This window comes from Homo sapiens, chromosome 2 (genome assembly GCF_000001405.40).
Source record: "Homo sapiens chromosome 2, GRCh38.p14 Primary Assembly".
Classification (NCBI taxonomy): Eukaryota; Metazoa; Chordata; class Mammalia; order Primates; family Hominidae; genus Homo; species Homo sapiens.
This window is the reverse complement of record NC_000002.12, coordinates 28,441,662-28,462,787: the sequence shown is the minus strand read 5'-3', so window position 1 is coordinate 28,462,787 and position 21,126 is coordinate 28,441,662. Positions and strand designations below refer to the sequence as shown.

The following is a 21,126-nucleotide window of genomic DNA, read 5'->3' as shown; positions in this document are numbered from 1 at the left end:
ATTGGAATTAACAAAATCATAATTCTCAAGTAGCTATTATAACTATGCTTTGCAAGCTGAGGATGATACATGTACAACAAATAAAAAGATAGGAAACCTCAGCAGAGAAACTTGATTTAGAGGAAAACTAAATAGAAATTCTAGAACTGGAAAAGATAATGTTTGAAATAAAAGATTCACCAGTTTGGCTTAACAACAGTGTTCAGATAATAAAGGAGTCAACAACCTTGAAATCAGATCAGTACAAAAAGTATCCAATCACAACAAAGAGAACAAAGATTGAAAACAAACAACAACAACAAAAACACAGAGCCTCAAGAGCCTGTAAAAACAGTATCAAAATGTTTAACATGTGAAATGAAACCCCAGAAGGAAAAAAGAAAGACTACAGGATAAAAGAAGAGAAAATATTTGAAGAAACAATGGCTAAAATTTCCCCTTATTTGGTGAAAGACATGCATTTACAGACTCAAGAAACCCAGCATACCTCAAGTAGGATAAATACAAAGAAAATCTCCCTTAGGCACATCATAGTCCAACTGCTAAAAATCAAAGATAAAGAGGAAATCTTGACACAGCCCAAGAAAAAAGATATGTTACACATGGGGTGGAAAAAAAATCAAATCACTGGTGACTTCTCATCAGAAACCATGGAGGGCAGAAGCCAGTTTTTCAAACCCAGATTTATGAAATATCCTTCAAAAATGAAGGTAAAACAAAGAAATTTCCCCAAAAACAAGAAAACTAAAAGAATTCACCATTAGCATCTTCACTACAAGAAATGCTTAAGAAAGTTCTCAGGCTGAAAGGCAACAATACAGAAGACAAATGTGGATCATTAGAAACAAAGGAAGAGTGTGGGAAACAGTAAAAAGCTAGGTCAATACAAAAATCCTGATTCCCACTCTGACCCACCTAAACCTGCTTTTTCCCATAGACTTGCCTGTCTTGGTGATGGAAACACCGGCTTAATGGTTCCCAGGCAAAAACCATGGCATTCATTCTTTTTCTTACACCCCAACAAGGATTCTTGTTTCTACCTTCAAATTAAAATGTATTCAGAATCTGACCATTTTTTCTGCCTTTCTTTGTCTTCCTGGTCCAAGCCACTGTTTTGTTTTTTTTTTTCTTATTTCTAGAAGAGTTTTGAATACACCTGGATTGCTGCAATAGCCTACTCATTGATCTCCTATTTATTTTATTTTATTTTATTTTGTAGAGGTGGGGTCTCAGTATGTTGCCCAGGCTGGTCTCCTGACTCGCCCTCCCAAAGTGCTGGGATTACAGGTGTGAGCTGCCACACTCAGCCCTGATCTCCTATTTCTACTCCTGGTACTGTACTGGTGATTTTCCACATAGCAGCCAAGGAAACCTTTTAACACCTATGCCAGTTTTTCACTCTTTGCTCAACACTCTCCACTGGCCTTCTACCTTATCAAGGAAAAGAAACGAGTCCTTAGCACAGTCTACAAAGGCCCCGGGTGATGTGGACCCAGATACTTCTCTGATCTTCCCCTCTTTATACACTTCCTCCTTCTCTTGCTGTGATCTGGCCACCTTGGTTTCCTTGCTGTTCCTCAAAGACACCATGTACCTGCCTCAGGGACTTTACATTTGTCCTGGTATCTTCTCTGGTAACTACAGGACTCACTCCCTCAGTTCTCTGTTCAAATGATGCCTCATCAATGAAATGTTTCCTAGCTACTCAAAATAAAATAGCAATAGAGCACACATTTCCTATCTTGCTCTGTTTTTCTTCTTAACACTTACTGCCTTCATATTCAATTAAGCAATTGTTGAATGAACGAATGAATGGGTCTTTTTTTTTTTGAGACAGGGTCTCACTTTGTGACCCAGACTGGAGTACAGTGGCATGATCTTAGTTTACAAGGCGTAAGATATAGGCAGGTGGAGGTCCCTGCAGCCTTGACCTCCCAGGTTCAAGCAATCCTCATGCCTCAACCCCCAAGTAGCTGGGATCACAGGCATACTATTTTCGAGACAGAGTCTCACTCTTTCACCCAGGCTGGAGTGCAGTGGAGCAACCTCTGCTCACCGCAACCTCCGCCCCCCGGGTTCAACGATTCTCCTGCCTCAGCCTCCCAAGTAGCTGAAATTACAGGTATGCACCACCATGCCTAGCTAATTTTTGTATTTTTAGTAGAGATGGGGTTTCACCATGTTGGCCAGGCTGGTCTCGACTCCTGACCTCAGGTGATCCACCCACCTCAGCTTCCCAAAATGCTAGGATTACAGGCATGAGTCACACTGCCCTGGCCTAAAAATTTTTTTTTATTGTAGCAAAATATATGAGAAAGAAGAGAACCTTTTTATCTGCACGCTCTTTAGTTATCAGGCCCAGAGAGGCAATGAAAAGTAACAACATCACATTCCGTTTCAAGGCATCTGTGAGACTGCAGAACAGGTGGCAAAGCTCACCCTCACAAGCTGAAAAAAATTATGGACAAGAAGTTATCACTGAAATTAAACGGTGGCAGACATGTCCAAGGAATGCTGCGAGGATTTATCCCTTTATGAACCTTGTGATAGATGAATGTGTGGAGATGGCAACTAGCGAGCAACAGAACAATATTGCAATGCTGGTAAGATGAGGAAATAGTATCATCATGTCAGAAGCCTTGGAACAAGTGTAAATAGTGGCTGTTCAACGGAGACTTTCATGTCCCCTCTCCAAAGGGTCCATTTCACTATGATGTAAAAATTAGGTCATGAAAATTTTCATATTAGACTTTTTGTTAAATAAACTTTTGTAATAGTTAAAAAAATAAGAAAAGTGACAGCATGCCACATCTCATCCTCTCCACCATCTTGGGCTAAATAATTATGTCTTACAGCCCCTTGCTATGTGGGCTCTAAGACTAACTGACACCAAGTAGCTATAAAATGCCACACACTCTGGATGCCATAACTCTTACCCTATAGTTCAACAATGTATAGCCAATTACTAATCAATGTTATTTCCATTAACCAATGAGAATTCCTGACAAACAACTTTTTATCAGCCCACTCATTGTCTCCTTTTGCCTTTTTGACTAAAATGTTTAAGCAATTAAAAAAGTTTTTTAAGAGACAAGGTCTTGCTATGTCACCCAGGCTAGACTCAAACTCCTGGGCTCAAGCTGCCTCAGCCTCCTGAGCACCCGCCCCCTTTAACTTTTAAAACCCTGCTTGTGGCCAGGCGCAGTGGCTCATGCCTGTAATCCCAGCACTTTGGAAAGCCAAGGCGGGCGGATCACCTGAAGTCGGGAGTTCAAGACCAGCCTGGTCAACATAGTGAAACCCCATCTCTACTAAAGATACAAAAATTAGCCGGGCGTGGTGGTGCACACCTGTAGTCCCAGCTACTCGGGAGGCTGAGTCAGGAGAATCACTTGAACCCGGGAGGCAGAGGTTGCAGTGAACCGAAATCGTGCCACTGTACTCCAGCCTGGGCGACAGAGCGAGACTCCGTCTCAAAAAACAAAAAACAGAAAAAAACAAAATAACCTGCTTGTAGCAGAGGCCAAACAGAGCATTGCCAAGACAACTTGGAAGTGTGTCCTGAGCTATAGTCCTTAACCTTGGCCCAAATAAACTCTTTATATTAATTTTGCCTCCATTTCTTTCTTTAGATTGACATAGCCATAACATAAAATTTACCATTTTAACCATTTTTAAGTGTACAGTTCAGCGGTGTTAACTACACCCACAATGCTGGGCAACCAACACCATCATCCATTTCCAGAATTCTTTATTTTTTTTAACTTTTAATTACAGGTACATGTGCAGGTTTGTAACTTAGGTCAACATGTGTCATGGGGGTTTGTTGTACAGATTATGTTATCAACCAGGTATTAAGCCTAGTACCCATTCGTTATTTTTCCTGATCCTCTCCCTCCTCCCACCCTCCACCCTCTGAGAGGCCCCAGTCTCCAGCCTGGGCGACAGAGCGAGACTCCGTCTCAAAAAACAAAAAACAGAAAAAAACAAAATAACCTGCTTGTAGCAGAGGCCAAACAGAGCATTGCCAAGACAACTTGGAAGTGTGTCCTGAGCTATAGTCCTTAACCTTGGCCCAAATAAACTCTTTATATTAATTTTGCCTCCATTTCTTTCTTTAGATTGACATAGCCATAACATAAAATTTACCATTTTAACCATTTTTAAGTGTACAGTTCAGCGGTGTTAACTACACCCACAATGCTGGGCAACCAACACCATCATCCATTTCCAGAATTCTTTATTTTTTTTAACTTTTAATTACAGGTACATGTGCAGGTTTGTAACTTAGGTCAACATGTGTCATGGGGGTTTGTTGTACAGATTATGTTATCAACCAGGTATTAAGCCTAGTACCCATTCGTTATTTTTCCTGATCCTCTCCCTCCTCCCACCCTCCACCCTCTGAGAGGCCCCAGTGTGTGTTGTTCCCCTCTCTGTGTCCATGTGTTCTCATTATTTAGCTCCCACTTATAAGTGAGAACATACGGTATTTGGTTTTCTGTTCCTACCTCAGTTTGCTTAGGACAATGATCTCCAGCTCCATCCATGTTGCTGCAAAGGCAGAACTCGTTTTATCATCCAAAACTGAAACCTGCACCTGTTGGACACTGATTCCCCATTTCTCCCTTCCTCAGGCTCCTGGCAGTCACCCTTCTACTTCCTGTCTCTATGAATTTGACTACTCCTATCAGTAGAATCAGACAATATTCGCCATTTTGTGACTGGCTTATTTTACCTAACAGATGTCCTCAAGGCTCATCCATGCTATAGCAGGTGTCAGAATTTCCTTACTTCTTCAGGCTGAATCATCTCCATTGTATGGATAGAACACATTTTGTTTACCCATCCCTCTGTTGGTAGGGTTCAATCTCGATAACAAAAGGCAGCAGCCTCCTTCACCAGAAATGTTTTTCCCTTTAGGCTGCCAGCCCCAAGGGCAAAACATACCGGCATCCTTTCTCCTCACCCCATGAGGCTCTCTCCAGGCAAATGGAACCTTTGCGCTGGGAGCCACCTACTTCAGATCAGATTCTATGATGAGGACCAGATTTCCCAGAACTTTCCAGTCTTCCAGGAGACAATACTGAGTGAGGGCTAGGCAAGCAAATGGCAAAATGCCCCAGGTCTTCCCCCTTCCCAAACCAAGAAATACAACTGAGCTGCCCACCTGGCCCAAGGGAGCAGGAGGGAGAAGAGGCCTGGGGGGAGCAGCCCCCATTTCCATCTTGGTCCTGCACACAATGCCCCAATAACCCTATGCCCCACGCAGTCATGACCTGTTTAAAGCAGAACATGGTGGTGTGGCCGCCTGTTGGGCACCGGAGGTGACGCAGCCTCAGGGCCCAGAATGGCCTTGCCTTTCCCAGCCTGGAGAACACAGCACCCGCAACAGCATGGCCCTGCCCCACCCCATCCCTCGGAAATGAAAGGGCTTGCAGGCTGAAACCACTGCAGGAAAGCAAGGAAAAAGCCAAATGTCAAGCAAACAAAACAAGAAAGAAGCCTGTATTAGCCCGTTTTCACGCTGCTGATAAAGACATACGCGACACTGGGCAATTTACAAAAGAACGAGGCTGATTGGACTCACAGTTCTGCGTGGCTGGAGAGGCCTCACAATCATGGCGGAAGGCGAACGGTACTACTTACATGGCGGCAGCAAGAAAAAAATGACGCAGAAGCGAAAGCAGAAACTCCCTATTTAAAAAAAATCAGATCTCATGAGACTTACTACCATAAGGAAAGTATGAGAGAAAGCGCCCCCATGATTCAATGATCTCCCACCGGGTCCCTCCCACAACACGTGGGAGTTACAGGCGTATCATTCAAGATGAGATTTGGGTGGGGACACAGAGCCAAACCATATCAAGCCCCTACATCCAGAAAATGCAAATTTCATTCAACGCTAAAAAGAAATGTGCTGCCAAGCCATGAAAAGACATGGAGAAAACTTAAATGTATATTATTAAGTGGAAGAAGCCAGTATGAACAGGGTGCATACTGTATGATTCCAACTATATGACACTCTGGGAAAGGCAAGACTACGGAGACAGCAAAAAGACCAGTGGGTGCCAGGGGTTGTGGGGAGGGAGGGATGAACAGGCGGAGCACAGAGGATTTTTAGGGCCGTGAAACTACTCTAAGATGCTGTGACAGTGGATAAAGTCATCACACTTCGGTTAGAACTCATAGGACATCAACACCAAGAGTGAACCCCAATGTAAATATAGACTTTGGGTGATGATGCATCCATGTGGGTTCTTGATTTAATGAATGTACTACACATGTAGGGGCAGGGGTATATGGGGACTCTCTATACTTTGTTTTCAAATTTGCTATGAACCTAAAAAATAAAGTCTATTAGAAAACAAAACAAAAGGATCCCCAGATGCCCTGAGCTCTGTTTTACAAGGAGGGCCACCTGGCTCCTCAGGCCACAGCTCAGAAACCCCTGCTCTCCCTAGGAGGACTCACAGCCACATTTTCTCCTTTGCCTTTTAAGTGAGCTGTAGGGAATCCTTTGAGTCTCTTATCTGGGTCACCATTTAGGATAACTTCCACCGGAAGTGTCCTCTGCTTGGTTCCTTGACTTCAGTGTCACCTCCCCGGAGGCCTTCCCCAACTACCCCATTCCTAAGTCACTGTCCCTCCCATTATCTTGTATGATTTTCCGCCTAGCACTCATCATGTCTGAAATGAGCTCACCTGTTTACATATTTATTTTAAGTCACCCCTTTAGAGAATGCAAGCTCCACTAAGGCACTGACTGTGCCCCAGTGCCCAAAGCAGTGGCTGGCACAAAATAGGGGCTCAGCAAATATTTGTTGACTAAGTTATTTTGTTACTGAGCAGCAGCATAACCTAGGGCAAGGCAGTTAAACTTTTCTGGGCCCCAATTTCCTCATCTGTAAAATGGGCAACTACTCTTAATGATTGTGCTCCCTTTTCACGACAATGCTCTGAGTGTTGTCTCAACATGACCTTGTTTTGCCACGAAAGGACTTCTGCAGTGAAACAGGAGAGGTCCCCGATCCCCCTCAGGATGTGCCGCTTGCCTTTTCGGTCACCCCTGCTGCTCAAATCCCTCTCAGGAGGTGGAGCATGCAGATGGGAAGGTGCAGAGGCCAGGGTGAGCCATTTGGGCTCTGGCCCTACTGTAGTGTCTAAAGGTGGGTGCCTGCAACCCCAGTGTTACAAAGCTCTTTCAGCTTTGCTGTCCGCAGACAGCATGTGTTAACCAGCTCAATGGACCCTCTGCCTTTTCGCAAGGGCAGAGGGCCAGTGTGACAGCTCTCTGTATCACAAGCTCTTATCCAGCATCCCGGAAAAACTGGGTCACACATGGGCTTGAAGGATGAATGCGAGGTTTTATTGAATGGTAGAGGTAGCTTTCAGTGGGACGGATGAGGAGCCAGAAGGGGGGTATGGAGTAGGAAGGTGATCTTCCCCTGGAGTCAGGAGCCCAGCAGCCGGACTCCTCTCTGACCGTCCCCAGTCAAACTCCTCTCCATGTTCAGATGTTCCTCCTCCTCTCTCTTTCTCTACTGCATCGTTCCACTGTCCGTCTGCTGGTCTGCTGGCTTGCTCGTCTGTTTCTGAAGCCTGGGGTTCAGGGTTTATATGGGTGCAGGATAGGGGGTGTGGCAGGCCAAAAGGCAACTTTTTCCGCTCAAAAACAGGAATGCCTGTCCTCATTTAGGGCCGTGGGTCTTCAGGCTTGAGGGTGGGGCCTTTGCCAGGAGCCACCCTCTTCTACCCAGTATTTCCCTGTCTCCTGTCCGTATCACCAGGCCATCTGGATGAGTACTTATGGAGAGAGTTCCTAGCAGCTTAGGATGTTGCTTCACCTTGCAGACTTGAGTTTGCAGATGCCAGAGAGAGGTTGGAATGTGTGCTAAGTAGATTGGGGTATGTGAAAGTCTCTCCCCTAGAAGGTCAGCCGTAAGGAGGCAGGGATCTTGTGTTTTATTGATTTTTATGGCCCAAGAGTCTAGAACAGTGCCTGGCACCAAGGAGGCTCAACGAATAGTTATGAAATGAGCACAGGAGGAATGCTGGACACGTCATTGACAGTCAGAACATGAACTTCCATTCTTGGGTGAGTGTCGTGTGGTATGGAAACAGCAATAATAATGCCTTCCATTAGTGGAGCCCTCTGTAAGGTGTTTACACACACATCATCTCATTTGATCCTCATGACAACCCCATGAGATAAGTACCATTAAGTGTTATTATCCCCAATTTACAGATGAGATAACTGCGGCTCAAAGAGTTCAACCTGCCTGAGGCCACATAGCTGGTAAATGGCAGAGCCTGATCTTGAACCCAGGATTTTCTCGCCCTAGACCCAATGCTCTTATCTGCCTGTGTGTTGCTGGTCATGCAAAGCTCTGAGTGTGAGCAGCAGCTGGAAGCCTCACATGAGAGCCAAGGCCCTGAGGAGAGCCACCGTGGAGCAGACAGAAGAGCTACCTGTGACTGAGCCCAGGCCTGCTGTGCACACGGAGGCTGCCAGAGCTCTCAGCAGCAGGGGCTGGGTGAGAAGCAGGAGAGGCGGGTGAGCTGGGCCAGGCCCCTCTCAGCTCCAACAGTGGCCAAGTGCCCCTCTCGGGGAGCTCCTGAAGAGACCGCAGGGCCTCACGTAGGCACCGCCACCCTCAGGCCCAGACATGCATGGCTCCAAGCGGGCCCTTCACAGGGCACAGATGATGCCAAGGATGTGGGCAAACTGGTTTGAGGAACACAAAAACCAACTCAGAGTTTTCTCCCTTTCCTCAACAAGGCACCAGACCTGGCTTGTCACACCCCATGCCAAAGAGAAGTCTTCAAAGTGGTGTTTGCTTAGCCCCCACATCCTCCTGACTTTGCCAAAGTCCCTTATGTCTCCCTGAATCATACCTATGCACACGCACATGCACGCGCGCGCACACACATACACACACACACACACGGTGCCCAGGCCACCCCAGGCTCCTTTCCCTGGGAGCCCTCGAGCTGAGCCCTGGCCCACCTCTGTCCACAGCAATCCTTCGCACTCATCCTGCAGGCTCTTCTCTCTGCTGTCTGTTCCAAAGGCGCCTTCCCTCTTCTATACTCCAGAGCCTGCCCCAGGCCCTCCGCCCTGGTTCTGGCCATGGGGGCTTTCCACTAGATTTATCTGTACAGGTGACCGCTCCCCGTGTAGCCGCCAGCTCCCTGAGGGTGGGGCTCAGGTCCCTGTGCTGGGACCCACCTGGTCTAGGGGTCACAACCGCTGGCCACCCTGCATCAGGCCCTGTCAGGGAGCCCTGGGAGTCAGTAGTTTAGCAAACCTGTCTGGGGCCTTCCCCCTAGAAGCCACGGGGGCAGTCATGAAGAAATGGAGGGTGAAGGTGGGTGAGGCCAGGACAGGTGGCGGTCCACACACTTGCTGTGTTAGTCATCAAGGGCACCCAGCAGGGCAGAGGTCATCCCTAAAGCTGTGGCGAAGGGGATGGGTGGGGAGAAGGAGACAACGCATGCCAGGGAAAAGGCATCATGTCAAAACATCTTGCTGGAAAGGCAGTTTTCCTTCCAAACTCCCCAACAAGACCCGAAACGGTAAGTGGAAGGATGTCTTGATTAATCTCAGGCTGACGTTTTGCATTTGCTCTTGCAGCCAACACACACCGAGCCATCAAATCACCCTCCTGCTCCGTGCCAGACTCCGAACATGGAGTCCTCATTCCTGCCTCAGCAGCACTGGACAGAGCTTCTCTGTCCTCCCCCCTGGAAACGAGCCCCCAGCACAGGACCAAACAGATCATTGCTTCTACCTAGTGGAGCTAATAGCTGTTCATTGACCACATAGTCACTGGTCCCCTACTCTCCCAGCCCCTTGCTAAGCACGTCACATGCATTATCTCATTTACAAATGGGGTGGTTCCCAGAGATGGTTCTGGGGACCACAGTGGAGTGGGGAGGGGGCACTTCTGACCTGAGTGGAGTGAAAAGACAGCTGGCCCAGTCTCTTTTTGCGTCTGCTGCCCAGCATCATTGTCAACAGAGTCCACCTCATGCTTAGGAATGGCCCGGTTTGGAAGGTCAATTCTAGGTTCAGAGATTGGCCCAAGGCACCCTGTACCTGAGAGGGGCAGACACTAGAGGGCGCAAGGGAGCTGCGCTTGGTGGCCCAGGCTCAGGGATGTCAACTGGGCTGCAGCCTTGGGGCAAGGGCTATCTGCAGAGAGTGGAGGTGGGAGGCAGGTGGGGGGAGCGGGGGAGAGTGCCTAACCCTGCTCCCTCACAGAGCCCTTGCCCAGACCCAGCCCTAGCCCACATCCTCTCACCTCCATCAATCGCCCAGCAGGAGCCTGACCGGCCTGGGAACACAAGAGGGAAAAAGAGGTTCTGGGCCTGGCCTCTCCCCTCTCCACCACTTCAGCCCAGCCAGGCCCCAGCAAGCCTCTCCCCTGGGCTGGAGCCCTCAGACTCTCAGGCCGCTCTCCCGATGGGCTGGGACTGCAAATGAACCACGTTCTGGAAAAACAGCCAGGCCGTGCATCAAAGAAACTCCACGGCCCTCCAGGGGGTAGGTGTGGGGCGGGCCGGAAGCAGGAGGTGGAAGGACTGATAGAGCCCTTGGTTAGGAGTTCCGGTTCGGAACACCTTCTCCTCCTTAACCCACCCTCAGGAGCCACGAGGGCTCAGTTACAAGGCTCAGGTGGCAGCATCCTGGCCTGTGAATCAGGCTGACCAGGGTCCCTGCCCCGCCTGCTCCCACGGCCACAGGGCTTGTAACCTATGAAAAGCCCACTTCTCATGGTCCTAGCCTGGCCAGAGGTTCTGAATGTGCCACTGCCCCGTCCAAGACTCTGCCCGCAATCAGACGTGGGGCAGAGGGGGCGCCTCCAGGAGGCAAACTTTCCATTCCCACTGGGACAATGCCATGACCCCAGCCCCTGCTGACTCCTCTCCAGCCAATGGATCAGGCCACAGGAGGCCCTGCCTGCCTCCAGAAACTGGACGCCCCAAGCCTCTAAGTCCTCTTCTTGAGAGAAGGCCACATAAAAGGCAAGGTGGTGACGTCTTAGAGGCACGTACTTCGGTGTCCCACAGACTTGGGTATAGGTTGTATCTCTGATATTAGCGCCTTGGGCACAATACTTCACTTCTCTAAGCCTGGGTTGATTCACCTGTAAAAGGTAATAAGAACATCTACTTCACAAGGCTGGTGTAAGGATTAAATGCTACAAAGAACAGAAAGCGCAGAGCCGAGTTCCTGGTGCCCAAGCCAGCAGGAAAGTGGAGGAAGATGCTCTGAGCAGCACCTGCAGGGCCCTTCCGGCTCAGCCCAGTTTCTCTCTGCAGTGGAGTCCCAGTCTGCAAGCTAAGAACGGAGATGGACTTTCAATCCCAGCTTGGTATACATGGTATACACGGGTGAATTTTCTATTAGACAGTGGCACCAACGGATGTAGGAAGCCATGAATGCCTCGGTGTCAGCAGCCTCAGCCTAAGAATCATTCATTCATTCATTTGTTCATTCATTCACTTATTCAACAGACACCTTTTTGTCCAGACAGTCCCAGATTACAACTGTTGTCCAGATGTAATTATTAATAGCCTCCTTTGACCTTGAAGTGTCCCAGTTTGGATGATAAATTATACGGTCTCTCTGCCTACTGAGCACCTACTATGTGTCAGGTCCCAGGCTAGGCCCCGGGGATTGAGAGAGAGATAACGTAATGGCCCTGCCCTCTAGGGCTCCGGAGACAAGGCGGCGATTGCAAGGCAGTGTGAGAAGGCGGGGATGGACATGCTGCCACGGGACCCCTGTACCCCTTGACAAACCTGTCAAGAAACAACCTTTGACTTTCCTGCCCTTCTTGGGTTTATTTACTTTTACTTGTTTACAAAAAAACATTTTTTGGGTTAACTCATGTCATGCTTTTCCCACCTGATACAGGAAGCAGCAGTCCTTTTATTTATTATGTTTTCCTCTGGCCTCAGAAGTTGCCTTTTATTGAGATATATATGATCCTTTTTCAAGAATCTCAAATATCCCATCTGTTCCCTACATGATGTCACAAACATCAGTTTTCCAGAAGCAGGGTCCTAATTTATTTCTTCATGAAAAGGGTATGACATGAAAATGGCAGTGACCCCGGGGCATGCTCTGGTTGGCCAGCTCCTCACTACTTGTGCCAGAAACACCTCCATGACATTTAGGGAAAAAGACAGGAGGAGTCACAGGAGAGAAGATGAGATGAGAGGCAGGGATGTTCCCTGGGTGGGCTCCTTCCTGATCATCTAAGTTGGGTGTGGGGAGGATGGTTGCCTCCCCACAAAGGACCTTAGGCAGCCAAGTGTATGGGACAGGGCAGTGGCCTCTCCCTTCATGCCAGACCAGGGATGCCTTGGCCTGTGCAGTCTGTAAGGAGCCCAACCCCGCCAGTTTCCCACACCCCATACCCATTCTCCTCAGCTCAAGCCTCCTCCTTCCCTACCTAGGTCCTCCCAGTCTCCTACTCAGTTAACTCCAGAGCACCAGGGGCCAACTGGCATCGCATCTCCTTGTCCAGCACTTGGGGATCGACTTCCTGATTCTGTCTCACAATTTCCCGAGTCACTAGATGAAAATCCTGATAATTCACAGCCCGGAAGGAACACTACCTTATTTAGATGTGCTGCCCCCAGAGGAGGGGGAAAGAAGGAGGAGGAGGGGGATTTAGAAGCAGGTAGAGTAAAAGGAGAAGATAGAAGGCACCGGTGATTCTGAGAATTCAAGGTAATGATGATGTCATCACAGGGAGGGTTTCACTGGGGTCAGTGGGTGGGGGCAGGGCACGGTGGCTCAGACTTGTGACTCATTTGTAGAAGTGGGCCCTGTATTCAGAAGTCATTCATTGAGTAAGCCAGTAATTGTTTTGACACTCATTTATTGAGCTGTTATTATGTTTCAGACCCTGGACTAGGCCCCTGAGAGGGAAGATCAGGGCCAGGGCCCGGGAGCTCATGGTCCAGAGGGGAAATAGAGTTCCACTGCAGGGTGTGGGTGGGCACCGGGAGAGGGAGGTGTGGCAGGAGGCCAGAGGCATGGCTGACAGATGGATGGACAGACAGACAGACACAGACAGCCAGGCTCCATGCAGAGGGAGTGGTCAGGAAAGACTCCCTGGGAGAAGACGCGGGGTGGGGAGAGATATCTGAGATAATCGTGTGGGAGGAGTAGGCAGAAGCCAGACATGGGAAGGGAAGGGAGTTTCAGGCCGCGGGAAGAGCATCGTGCAGGAAGGCATGGAGGTGGGGGCTCGGGAACGTTTGGGGAAGTGCAAGAAGTTCCTGAGATGGTGAAGGGAGAGAAATGGCTTTGAGGAGGGAGGGGCAGCCACTTCCTAAAGAATCTGAGCTGCTGCCCTGCAGGCCCTGAGGATCCTGAAGGCACCAACCCTGGGGCTCCTGGCCACATTCCCCCTTCTTGGGAGAGGAACCCCTGAGCGTGCGATGGCCAAGTCCCACCCTGACAGACCCGTGCCTGGCTCCAGCCCTTACCAGTGTCCTGCCTGGGCTGGAGGTTTTTTCGCACATCATCCCATGCCACTCCTTTTCTCCAGAACCCCATTGATCCTCGAAGGTGGCCCAGTGTCCCCTGACGATGGAGAGATTGAGGTTCTCTAGAGGACAGAGCTTGCCAGGCCCCTCGGCTAGCATGTGGCAGAGCCAGAAGCAGAAGCCAGGGTTGTCTGGGCTCTTCCCACTTAATTCCAAGCCCTCCCTTGCACCACAAGTCCTCCCTAGGAGCTCCTGCTCGAACTCCAATTTCCAAAGTGTTTTACAGCCCCTGCCCGAATGCTGCCTGTTCCAAGTGATGCCCCTAAAAGCAGCCCGGCTTCATGGTGACCTGACACCACCCCAGCCTCAACCATCTTACCCATGCCCTGTTTGATCCCATTGCAGGACCCTGGCTTGTAGCTGTGTGGACCCCATACTCTCTTCCTATCCCAAACCTTCCTATTCCACCAGGGTGCCCTTCTACAAGGGCCAGGACCTCCTCCAGGCCACAGCAGTCACCTGGATGATGAGGGCTCCAGGAGGCACCCTCAACCCTGGAATTCTCTTTTTCAAATAAGAGATCCAGGTGAGAACCGTGAGGATGGGCACTTGGACAGGAAGAGGTTGCTTTGGCCCGAGCAGCAACAACGTTGGTCACTCAAGCCTTCACCAGGTTCTGCTCCACACAGAAGGAAGGAAAGCCCATCTCATCAGGCCTTGGGCACCAACAACACAAATAGTTCCTTGCTAGCAATACATTTTCCGATATGTTTTTGCTTCTTCCTCTAACGTTTAACCTTGGGTATATTTCAAAAGAAACGCAAGTCTGCTTGCTTCTGATTCATACTCACTGAGATCATCAAAACCAGAATTATTTGGTAATAGCTGCTGGGTTTACTGGATGCCCTCTGGGATCTGTAAAATCTCTATTCCTCAGAAACAGGAAGTTTCAACAAGAGGAAGGAGGCTGGTTGCAAAAATCAAAATTTGAATCTTCTCCACCTATTGGAGAGCCCAGCGTTCATGGCACTTCCTTCAGCCAGTTAACAAATGTGGATTCGGTGCCTACTGTGTGCAGGAACTGGGGACAGAGATGATTTTTTAAGGGGCTCTGAATGAGTTTGCTGAGGCTGTCAGAAGAGAATACTGTACATCAGGTGGCTTCAACAACAGAAATTTATACTTGCACAATTCTGGAGGCTGGAAGACTGACAGGGGCCAGCAGGGGTCCTTTCTTTTAAGTCCTCTCTCTTTGGCTTGGAGATGGCTGCCATCTTGCTGTGTCTGCCCATGGTCTTCCCCCTGTGTCTGTTTGGTTCTAATCACTTCTTGTAAGGACACCAGTTACATTTAATTTAGTCCCCCCCAATGACATCATGTTAACTTAATTACCTCTTTAAAGACCCTGTCTCCAAATACAGTTGCATTCTGAGGTTCTGGGGGGTTAGGACTTCAACATATACATTTGGAGGAGTGGGGCGCACAATACAGCTCAATGTAGCCTCTGATCTCAAGTCATTTTCCCATGTCAGGCTTTCTCTTTGGTCACCATCTGAGGTTAGCGTCTGCAGTGAGGTGGTCGAGGTGCCTGTTCTGGGCTGTTGCAGGTTTTCTAAGGCAGGATGATTTGGTGAAATGGCCACCACACCATCAGATCTGAACTCTTGTTCTGCCCCCTTCACTAGCTGGGTGGTATAGCCTGAGTTATGTAACCTCCAAAGCCTCAGTTTCCTCATCAATATACTGAGAATAATCATTTCTGCCTCGAAATGGGAGTTATTTTCCCAGGTGTGTTTCCTGCAGGGTTTCCTCCTCCAGTGAACCAAGGATGTCTTCTCATGGCTCTATGGGAAGAAGTGGGCTGGGAAACGCAAGAAAGGAAGACACAGGGTTAGAGGTCAGGTCCCTCAGCCAATCCATAGCCAAAATGCCTGACTGCTAGTACTTAACTCCTTAGGCTTGGGCCTCTTGGGAGCTGATGCTTGGTCAACTCCCACTGTCTGGGCAGACCCACCCACAGACTCTCCATCCTACCGGGGTTCCCCTGGCTCTCTCCCCTGTGACTTCCTTGGAAAAGGTTCTCCTCTGAAGGCAGCCAGCTCTCCTGGGTCAAGTCCCAGGCTAGGAGGAGGGGAAAGTGACCTGGAACTGAGCATCCCCCAGGAGTACCCACGGCCAGGACCTCTGTAAGAGTGTGGTCTAGGAAGGCAAGGGACAATTGTTGGGTCCAGGCTGAGCCCACTTGCTGAAAGATGATCTTGGATAGAAAACAAGTCGAAAGGCTAACAGAGCCCTCTGTTTAGAGGAAGCCCTCACAGTTCAGGGATGTAGGGGCTGGACTAGTCATTAAGGGACCTGGGTTCAAATCCCAGCTCCAATAGTTGCCTGTGATAGGACACTAGCAGCTTACATGACTGCCCTGAGCTTCAGTTCCTTGGCTATAAAATGGAGATAACAATACCTAACTTGTTCCCCTCAAAGGCTCAAAATGGAATAAAGTGCTGGGCAAATATGAGTACATACTTTATTGTATTGCATTGTAGTTGAGACAGAGTCTCACTGTGTCACCCAGGCTGGAGTGCAGTGGCACAATCATGGCTCACTGCAACCTTGACCAGCTGGGCTCAAGCAATCCTCCCACCTCAGCCTCCTGAGTAGCTGGGACCACAGTTGTGTGCCACCACCCCCAGCTAATTTTTCAATTTTTTTTAGGGCTAGGGTCTCACTATGTTGCCCAGACTAGTCTCAAACTCCTGGGCTCAAGCGATCCTTCCGCTTCGGCCTCCCTAAGTGCTGGGATTACAGGCTTGAGCTACTGTGCCCTGTCTGAATGTATATTTTATTAATAAGTAAAAAAAGTGCCCACTTGGCCTCCGTCCTCTGAGCCAGCACACCTTCTCAGCTCCTGGGAATGAAGGGAGAAGTCCTTGTTGCTTTGGTTTCCAGTTTCTTTAAGCTGCCAGTATTCTACACATACACACACACACACACACACACACACACACACACACACACACACACCCCATTGGGAGCAGATTAAGGAGACATCTCTTCTCAAAAAGAAGAGCATTTCCAGCTTTGGAGTAAGAAGAATTAGGGCTCCTTCTGGGCCACATCACCTCTTCAGCATCATCCCACCCCCAGCTGGAGCCCTCTCTCCCTCCCTCCCTGAATTACTCACACTCTTGGAAACATGACTGATGACTTCGGGATGAGTAAGAGGCTCTTGCGTGTCATGGTTTGACTGCTGGGAGGGTGAATGAGTTCAGTGCTCCCTTGAGCAAGGCCACCGCGGACCTGCACCAGGGGTCCAGGCCACAGGACCCCAGAGGGGAGTTAGGCTTCATTTAGCAATGAACTAAAAGTCCTGACCCATTCCCCCTTCTTCCAAGCCCCTGAGTGGTGATGCCCTCTCAGTGTGGAGTGACAGCCCCAACACCTTTCTGGGCTGCCCAGGTAGAGGGTGCAGGGGCTCCTTCTGAGCTCCAGGTGAGTGCATTCCTCAGACCCAGGCACTCCTGGCCTCAATCCAGCAGAGCCAGGCCCAGGGGCAGCTCTGAAATTGGCAGCCAGCGTTGGTTGCTGTGGAAGGTCCCTAATCCTGGGGCCCACTCTGCAGGGTGCGTGTGTGTAGTGGGTGTGTGTGTGTAGTGGGTGTGTGTGTTTATACTCTCGTGGACACCCTAATCCACAATGTCAGTCAAGCAAATATTTTTGGTCTGTTTTCCATTTTCCATGTGTCTCATTTCAGAACATTTGGTGGACATGGGATCACAGCAAAGGAAGGTATTTATTCAATGCATTTTGAAGTGTCTTTTTTACATTCTTGGAGTTACTGTGCAAGGTGAACATGCTAACATAAGCAAAACAACATGCGAACTAGACTTTCCTGGCATGCAATAAATAGGGCTGAAGCATCAGTTTCCCCATACCTAAAGTGGGTTTAGTCAGAACACAGATGGCATGGAAAATAACGCTAGGACTGTGAAGCATGAGGCAGCCCCACCTCAATGTCCTCTGCACCCGGCACAAGACAGTGTCCTCACTTGGAGCCTTAGCTTCCCAAATAGTCACTGCTGTGTGAGAGATGGGGCTTACCCTCAAACTTTGCTCCATGCAGATCTTGAGGACTGAATGTCCGTTGAGTTGCTCAAGATGAAAGTGACGCATCAAGAGGCAGGACTTGATTAAAGCATTGCAGGACAGAGGAATAGAACTCAGAGGAACCCATTATGAAGCTGAGTTGCTTGATGGCACTGTGATATCCCAAACACAGGGCTGAGAATAAGTGAGGCAGGGAAGCCTACTGGCCCAGGCTCTCCCAGTTCCTCCCCACCAGCTCCTCTCCCAGCGGAATGGGTGGTTCCCTCCTCATCACCACTCTGTATTAACATTAGGCTTAGTCCTTAAAATGTAGGGTGTTAGAAGTTCCATATAAAGCTGGAATAAACCTTAAGTAACTAACTCAGATGTTCAAAAAATATTACCTTCTTTCCCTTCCTATAACTCAGATGAGATACCTCACCACCAGAATGGCAGAAAATTACCCAGTCAATGCAGGTTTTCCTGCTCACTCTTCTCAGTGTTGGGAGTGATTTTCTAGGAGGTTCACCAAGAGCTAAGGAATTGGGGAGACTTTCCTCATGCAGGCCTCTGCTGGGATGGCTGCTGTTCTGATCTTACAGATCCTTCAGTGTGCACCTCTCTCCGGGTCATACTAAGGGTCTAGAATTCATGCTGCTGCTCCCGCACTGATCAGAGCCAGGGGAGGCTCTACAAGCCTTGTCTGTCCCCTCTGTGAGATCTGGCTGGCTCCTGAGACCCTAACCCAAGATATAGGGGTGCGGAGCTGCTCTCTAATTCCCTCCCGTTCTTCTCTCTCCTCCCCACCTAGGGGATTTTTCTCTAGTCTTAGAAGGGTGGTTGGCTGGAAGCGGGAGTGGGAGCTGCTCTCTATCATCTGTTTTCTCCAAACTTTGTGACTCTGTTCCTTTTAGGACTTGGGCTTTGAAACCAAAGCCAGAAAGGCACCCCTTTTTTCTGCCTTGTATCCTGTTATATCCACTTCCCCCTTGGTAATCAGCTCAGAACTGGTGGTGAAAAGGGCAAAGAATAAATACTGGGAGGAATGGGCTGATATTTCAAAAATATGCTGCACAGGCTGGGCACAGTGGCTCATGCCTGTAATCCCAGCACTTTGGGAGGCCAAAGCGGGTAGATTGCTAGAGCCCGGAAGTTCAAGACCAGCCTGGCAACATGGCGAAACCCCATCTCTAAAAATATACAAAAATTAGCCAGCTACGGTGGTGTGCATCTGTAGTTCCAGCTATTTGGGGTGCTGAGGCAGGAGGATCGTTTGAGCCTTGGAGGTCAAGGCTGCAGTGAGCTATGATCATCCCACTGCACTCCAGCCTGGGCAACAGAGTGGGACCCTGTCTCAACAAAACAAAACAACAAGAACAAAATATGTATATGCAGTACCCCATGGAGCATCCGTCTTCACTACCTGAATTAGAACTTGCTGTAAAGCTATTGTAATCATGACAATAAGATATTGGTGTCAGAATAGACAAGGAGATCAAGGAAACAGAATAGAAAGCCTAGGAGTGAGACCATGTGTATGTGCTCAACTGACTCCCAACAAAGGCACCAATGTGATTCAATGGGGGAAAGGAAAGTCTTTTTAATTTTAAATGATGCTAGAACATCTGGATATTAAAAAATGAGCATTGACCCTTACCTCACATCATACTCAAAAATTATTTTGCACCAGGCACAGTGGCTCATGCCTGTAATCCCAGCATTTGGGGAGGCCAAGGCAGGCGGACCGCTTGAGATCAGGAGTTCAGACCAGCCTGGCCAACATGGCGAGACCCTGTCTCTACAAAAAATACAAAAAATTAGCTGGGCCTGGTGGCATGCACCTGTAGTCCCAGCTACTTGGGAGGCTGAGGTGGGAGGATGGCTTGAGCCCAGGAGGTAGAGATTGCAGTGAGCCCAGAATGCGCCATTGCACTCCAGCCTGGGTAACAGAGCCAGCCAGACCCTGTCTAAAAAAAAAAAAAAAAAAAAAAAATAGATGGATTATAGACCTAAACAAAAAATCTAAAACTATAAAGCTTCTAAAAAAGAACAGAAGAGAGAATTTTCATGACTTTTGGGTAGGCAAAGTTTTCTTAAACAGATCACACACAAAGAAAAACAATCACAAACTATTAAAAAATGAAATAATTTGTAGATTGGACATTATCAATTTTTTGTTGTTTTAAACTCTTTTGTTGGTTTTTATTTGATTTTTTTTTTTTTTTTTTTTGTAGAGATAGGGTCTCCCTGTGTTTCTCATGCTGGCCTGGAACTAACTCCTGGCCTCAAGCCATCTTCCCACCTCAGCCTCCCAAAGTATTGGGATTACAGGTGTGAGCCACCACACCTGGCCATTTTTGTTTTCTTTTTCTTGGAAAGACGTTTTTAAGAAAATAGGCAAGTCAGTCTGTGAAAAAAATATTCACACAAAACATATATCTGACAAAGTTCTGGTATCTAGAATATATAAATACTCACAAATCAAGAATAAAATGATTTTTTAAAGCCTAATAAATAAAAGGGAGCAAAGGACATGAACAGACACGTCACAAAAGAACATTACAAAGGGCCAGTAAACAAATGAAAATTGCTCAGCCTCATTGTGCTTAATCAGGAGATGCAAATTAAAACCACAGCAGTAACATTTCACACCCACTCGAATGGCTAAGCTGAAAATGACCAACAATAGCAAATGCTGGTGAGGACGTGAAGCAACTGTAACACACACTGGTGAGGGCACAAAATGGTACAACCATTTTGGAAAACAGTTTGGCAGATTCTTAGAAAGTTAAACATACACCAACCCTATGATTCACCAATTCCACAACCAAGTATTGCCCCAAGAGAAATAAAAACAGATTTTCACCCAAAAAACAACTTGTCCAAAAATATCCATAGCAGTTTTATTCCTTTATTAGCAAAAATTGGAAATTACCCACATGACCATGAACAGGTAGATAAGTAGATAAATACATTGTGGTTTCTTCATACAATGGAACACTACTGAACAATAAAAATGAACAAACAATGCAACATGGACAAATGTCAACACTGTGTGGAAGAAAGAAGCCAACACAAAAGAGTGCATATGAGATGATTCCAAAAAGGATCTGTGATGATAGAAATCAGAACGTTGGTTGCCTCAGGGTGGGGTTGGAGATTGATGAAGAAGGTAAAAAGGCAACCTAGTGGAGTGAAGCAAATATGCTATATCTTGATTGGAATTGTGGTTGCATGGGTGTACACGTCTGTCAAAACTCAGTGAGTTTTACACTTAAGATCGACGCATCTCAGTGTCTCTAGAGTACACCTCAAAAACAAACAAACAAACAAAAAAACAAATAAAACACACACACACAAAAACAGTTGCCAGGGGCAGAAGAGAGGGGAAAATGGGGAGTTTTTGTTTAATGGGTACAGAGTTTCAGTTTCCTAAGATGAAAAAGCGATTGGTTGCATACAATGTGAATATACTTAATGTGACTGAACTGTACTCTTAAGATGGAAGAGATAGTACATTTTATGTTATGT

At 47.9% G+C, this 21,126-nt stretch overlaps 1 long non-coding RNA gene and 1 pseudogene across 4 annotated transcripts, besides 2 other annotated features; both read left to right on the top strand.

Annotated features, from left to right (window-relative positions):
* On the top strand, positions 2,391-2,731 carry SNRPGP7 (small nuclear ribonucleoprotein polypeptide G pseudogene 7; annotated as a pseudogene).
* Positions 10,031-10,544: an enhancer, noted in NCBI's record as "H3K4me1 hESC enhancer chr2:28675111-28675624 (GRCh37/hg19 assembly coordinates)". NCBI's record gives its function as "activates a minimal SCP1, AML or CMV promoter by ChIP-STARR-seq in primed H9 embryonic stem cells {active_cell/tissue: H9 hESC(primed)}" and the evidence as "EXISTENCE:reporter gene assay evidence [ECO:0000049][PMID:30033119]".
* Positions 10,545-11,058: an enhancer, noted in NCBI's record as "H3K4me1 hESC enhancer chr2:28674597-28675110 (GRCh37/hg19 assembly coordinates)". NCBI's record gives its function as "activates a minimal SCP1, AML or CMV promoter by ChIP-STARR-seq in primed H9 embryonic stem cells {active_cell/tissue: H9 hESC(primed)}" and the evidence as "EXISTENCE:reporter gene assay evidence [ECO:0000049][PMID:30033119]".
* On the top strand, positions 12,603-16,025 carry LOC102723530 (uncharacterized). Of its 4 annotated transcripts, none has more exons than NR_187669.1 (2): positions 12,603-12,748; positions 13,984-16,025. It is a non-coding gene; the product is annotated as an uncharacterized LOC102723530 (long non-coding RNA). The 4 variants fall into 4 exon arrangements; NR_187668.1 differs by having other exon boundaries at positions 13,918-16,025; NR_187671.1 differs by lacking the exon at positions 12,603-12,748 and adding an exon at positions 12,780-12,870.
* The last annotated feature ends 5,101 nt before the right edge of the window (positions 16,026-21,126 follow it).